Here is a 5783-nt window from a genome sequence, read left to right on the forward strand (position 1 = left end):
CTCCTGCTGCTATGAAGAAATACCCAAGACGGGGTAATTTATAAAGAAAAGAGGTTTAATTGACTCATAGTTCTGCATGGCTGGGGAGGCCTCAGGCAACTTACAATCATGGAGAAAAGTCATCTTAATTTGCAGCCATCTCCTACCTCTTCACAGGGCAGAGGAGAGAGAATGAATGCAAGCAGGGAAAATGTCAGACGCTTATAAAACCATCAGATCTCTTGAGACTCACTCATTATCACAAGAACAGCATGGGGGAAACCGCCTCCATGATTCAATTACTTCCACCTGGTCCCACCCTTTACACGTGGGGATTATGGAGATTACCATTCAAGGTGAGATGTGGGTGGGGGCACAGAGCCAAACCATATCATACCACTTTGACCATTTTTAAATGTACAGTTCAGTGGCATTAAGTACATTTGCTTTGCGCAATCATCACCACCATCCATCTCCAGAACTTTTTCGTCTTCCCAAACTGAAACTCTGTACTCATTAAATACTAGCGCTCCATTCCTCCCTTTTCCAAACCCTGGCAACCACCATTCTACTTTCTTTATATAAATTTAACTACTCTCCCTACTTCATATAAGTGGAATCATACAGTCAATGTCCTTTTGTGACTGGCTTTACTTCACTTAGCATAATGTTCTCAAAGTTATTCCATGTTGTAACAAGTGTCAGAATAATATTCCATCATGCCTGTAACCCCAGCACTTTGGGAGGCCAAGGCAGGTGGATCACTTGAGCCTAGGAGTTCAAGGCCAGCCTAGGCAACAGAGTGAGACTGCATCGCTACAGCAAAAACAGAAAAAATTAGCCAGGTGTCGTGGTGCGCTGAGATGGGATGAGTGCTTGAGCCTTTGAGGAGGTCAAGGCTGCAGGGAGCTGTGATTACACCACCACACTCCAGCCTGGGCAACAGAGAGAGGCCCTATCTCAAAAAAAAAAAATTCATATATATATCATGTTTTCTTTGTCCATTCTTCTGTTGACAAACATTTGGACTGCCTCCACCTTTTGGCTATTGTAAATAATGCTACCATGAACATAGATATGCAAATATCTCTTGAAGACTCTGCTTTCAATTCTTGTAGATATGGACCTAGAAATGGAATTCCTGGATCATATGGTAATTCTATCTTTAAATGTCTTGAGGAACTGCCACCCAGTTTTCTACAGCAGGTATACCATTTTACACTCCTACTAGCTATGCACAAGGGTTCTAATTTCTTCTATCCTCACCAACACTTGTAATTTTTTGCTTTTTGAATAATAGCCATCCTAATGAATATGAAGCAGTATCTCATTGTGGTTTTATTTGCATTTCCCTAATGATTAGTGATACTGAGCGTCTTTTCATGTACTTACTGACCATTTATCTGTCTTCTTTGAAGAAATGCCTATTCGGGTCCTCTGCCCATTTTTCTAATTGGATTGCTTTTTGTTGTTGTTGAATTGTAGGAGTTCTTTCATATATTCTGGATTTTAATCCCTTATTGGATATATGATTTCCAAATATTTTCTTCCACTCTGTGGGCTGTCTGTTCACTCTGTTTATAGTATCCTTTAGTCCATAAAATAAGTTTTTTGCATATTTCAAAGTTTCCACAATAAACCTGTAGTGTTTTCAAAATAGGAGGAAACATTTTTTAAACTCTGTGATGCTTATGGAGATGTTTTTATGATATGAAGATATACATATGTAATATAGTATTGTTAATTAAAACATGGGAAATTCAGTTATAAATGCAATCAGATATCAACAATGAAAAAAGATCAGAAGGAAAAACAATTTTGTTGTTTTCTCTGGCTGGTGAGATTGTAAGTGAAAATTTTTTCTCTGTCTACTTTTCTGTGTTTTCTAACTTCCTATAGTAAATGTGTGTTGATTTTAAATGTAGAAGATGAAAAACAAGTATTTAAAGGGAGAAGAAGAAAACATCATGGGCATCTATCTGTGCTCTCAAGCATCAAATAAATCTTTAAACGTGCAAAGAAACACAAAGATGTGTTTAGGCCCCTTCCCCTGTCCTAAGGGTCTCACTGCCCCTACTTTTTGGGAACAGCTCTCATTCAGGCAGGAGTGGGGCGTGGGGACCTTGTCAACACTCATCTCCTCAGAGGCCACCTCCTCAATACACTTTTCCAGCTTATGCATCTGGTAAGGCAGAACAAAGAACAAATTTTCACAAGGGACAAAAGTTTCTAGTTCTATTTCTGAAGACAATTTCGATTGAAAACTGCTATTGCTTTTATTTAAAAAAGAATTTTCAGATGATAAACATTTTCTTTTATTAAGCTTTGCATTCTCTCAAGGTAGGAAACTCAGCAAACACCTTCATATGCTAATTTCCAGAATGAAAGAGCAGAGATAAATGACTCCTCTTACGAAAAGAACTGTAAACAAACAGGGTCTTCACTTATGGTTTCATTACCTCTATTTAGTCTGTTCTGTGCAGCAGCCAACGTGCACCTGTCTACATATCTGAGGCGTGCATTCATGCATTCATGCGCACTTAGCTGTGGGATTCATCACATGCTCTTCCTGGAGTCCTCAGTTGGCTCTAGGCTGTATTTGATGATCCAAGTGCAGGCTTCCTTGAAGGCAGGGAGCAGTATTTTTAAAACTGGTTGGTACAGGTTACCATCTTGAGGCCAGAGCAGTACTGCAGCTGGGTAGCCACCTGGTTGTGTGATCCTGGAAAAGTCATTTCATTTTTCTGTGGTATCGTTTTCAGAGAAAAGTCCAGAGATGTCCTTTGTCCTCCACTGAAGGACCCAGCCATTCTCGCTCTTTGTTCAGGTCTCTCTGCTCAAAACCACCTTCTGTCTAGCAATATCTCTCTAGCTCCCATCTCCAGCCCGACTTCATTGTTCATGACACCCATCACTTCCTGACATTATGCTACGTAATTATGTGCTTCCTTACTTATGTTCGTCTCTCCCATAGAATGTAAGGCTTTTGTCTTATTATCAACTTCTCAGCATCTAGCACAGCACCTGGCACCTTGTAGGTGCTCAGTAAGTATTTTGGATGATGTAATACATGAATCAATCAATCAACAAATCCATTATTAACTGAAGGTAGCTACTACCTCCTTCATGAGTTGGTCTGAGAATAACATGAGATTATTTTTGTGAACTTTTCAGATATTGTTCATCTTAGTATCTCCAGTGCCTCAGTCCTTGCATATAGTTAGTGGTTAGCAAATTTGGTGAATAGGTGCATAAAATAATACATAATGTATTTATTGTCAGTCAACTTCCAATCATCTTTATTAATAAATGGAAAGTGGGCAATGAATAATGTGAAACAGAAGCGAATCTAAAAATAATTTCTGTTGGCGGGAACATATACCGTATTATTCATAGCTTGATCTCCCAGTAGCTATCAGCCCAGTCTGTGAGCCAGGAGCTGTGTACGCATTCAGCATACCTGATGACTCACTCCAGACGCTTCAAGTCCTTTTGGCCCTGTGTTCCAACAAATGTATTCATTTCCTGCTGCCTTTTGAATCATGGCCTGGCCTGAATTTCTCCATCCCTTCCCTTCAGCTCTGATTTACATGGCCTTTTCTGAGAGCCAGAGGCATCCACAAGCAGCCAGGGCCAGGGGCAGGCTCCGAGCACCAAGTCCTCTGGTGGAAAAGGCTGGAGCACCAAATGGGGGGAGACCTGGAGGGTGACTCCAGCACAGTATATTCTCCTCTGCTCAAATGTGGCTTTTCCCCAGGACCTCCAAGTCTCCTGCAGAGCAGAAAACTTCCTGGAACTCTTGGCTTTCTTCTCTTGTGACTTATTACAAGTACTGCCAACAGCCATCATTTATTTCTTGTGCCTGATTTTGCACTGTTCATGGATTATCTCATTTAAGGCTCAATGTGACCCTTTGAGGTCAGTATAGTTATTCTCCTCCTACAGATGAAAAAATGAGGTTCAGAGAGATAAGGTTTTTGCCAGGAATGCGCAGCCAGACAGTGGCCCTGGATTGACCCACTTCACCATTCCTGCCCCTCATTCATTCCCTCAAAAAGCAAATATTACCCTTAGGTGGGTGTTTTGCTCAATGTCACTGGATTCTTACAGGAGGCTTTATTAGCACTTATGAGGATATTTTCAATGTAATACTGAATAGGATTCAGTACACCAAAATTTGGGAAGAAGTTAAACAACAGACTTACCTCTGATTATGTTTTGCTCAGAACAATATTCATGTAAATTTGTGCATCTAGTCAATAAATATTTATTGATTGCCTGCTCTATTTTAGGCACTAGGAATACAGCAGTGGACAAAACTGATAAATCTCCACCGAAATGTATCTTATGTCCTAGTGGAGAAACACAAAAATAGAGGCAATAGTTAAGGAAGATATTAGAAAAGGTTAGTTAGCAATACAAAAAAGATAAAGCAGGGAGGGAGAATGGGAGCCCTATGTTGGTGGGAGACATTCAAAGATGGCCTCACTGAGAAGGTGAGATTTGAGGAAAGATCTGAAAGAAGTGAGGGAGGGAGCCACACAGACGCTGGCAAGAAGAGTAGTTTAGGTAGAGACAAGCACAGGCTCAAAAGTCGTGGGGCAGAAATGTGCCTGGATTAATGGAGACACAGCAACAAGGGCAGTGTGTCTGGAGGAGACTAGAAGATGAGGTGTAAGAGGTAAGAGGGAAGGTTACACCATGCTGGGAAGGGTCCCTGGAGAGCATGCAGGGGGCCCATGGACTGGGCTGAGAAAAGAATCACAACTGTATTTTCATATCCAGTATGACATGCATGTTGCCTTGCCCAAAACCACCCCATAGTTGAAAGTTTTTATTCAAACAAGCAACTATAACTTTCACCCTAATCAGTCTTTTAAAATATACTTTAACACACTGATTTTTAAGCATTTTAGTTGCATACTACATTAATAACAAAATGCATACATTACTATATCCAAATTTTGTTTTTTAATAGCTTAATAACTACGTTCCAATATAATTAGCGTTATGGACAGAATGTTTGTGTCTCCCAAAATTTATATGTTGCAGCCCTAACCCACAATGTTGTGGTATTCGGAGATGGGGCTTTTGGGACGTAATTAAGACATGAAGGTGGGGCTCTATTCCTAGGATTAATGCCCTTTGAAGAGGAGGGAGAGAGCAGAGGCCATGAAAGAATACAGCAAGGCGGCTGTCTGCAAGCCAGGAAGAGAGCCCAAACCAGAACTTGACTATACTGGCAGCCTGATCTCAGACTTCCAGCCTCCAGAACTGCGAGAAATACATTTATTTTGTTTGTCACTCAGTCTGTGATATTTTGTTGAAGTGTTTCAAGCAGACTAAGATGGTTGGTTTCCTTGGAAATTCTTTGTGTTTTTGTGCATTTTAAAACATCCTGAGAAGGGAATAAATGACCTTCATCAGACTACCAGAGGGCTCCAGGGCACACCAAGTTTAAGAATCCCTCCTTATGGAATCTTTTGAGTCATTCCAAGAACATAGACTTTTATTCAGATTGGGAAATGAAGTGTTGGGGAGGTGAGCAGAGGCATCTTTCAAGCTGACTTAGGCCTGCCGATAGGATCACAATAACTTCTGAGTTGAGAGTAGATTTTGGTCAAAGGCAAGAAGACCAGTTAGCAAGCTACTGCAATAATCCAAGCAAGAGATGACAGTGGCTTTGACTAAGGTGATATTTTTACTTCTCCCAAATCAAATATACACTATGAAACGAGAGAACAAGACCAAGTATGAGAAATCACCAAGGGATTAATGCCTGCAGAGATAATTGAGAGGTGACT

At 40.6% G+C, this 5783-nt stretch overlaps 1 annotated feature.

The window, feature by feature from the left end:
- Nucleotides 3322-3616: an enhancer, noted in NCBI's record as "tiled region #6388; HepG2 Activating non-DNase unmatched - State 24:Quies, and K562 Activating non-DNase unmatched - State 5:Enh". NCBI's record gives its function as "activates a minimal TATA promoter and a strong SV40 promoter by Sharpr-MPRA in HepG2 and K562 cells {active_cell/tissue: HepG2 | K562}" and the evidence as "EXISTENCE:reporter gene assay evidence [ECO:0000049][PMID:27701403]".

The sequence above is a fragment of the Homo sapiens genome, chromosome 2 (genome assembly GCF_000001405.40).
Source record: "Homo sapiens chromosome 2, GRCh38.p14 Primary Assembly".
Taxonomy (NCBI): Eukaryota; Metazoa; Chordata; class Mammalia; order Primates; family Hominidae; genus Homo; species Homo sapiens.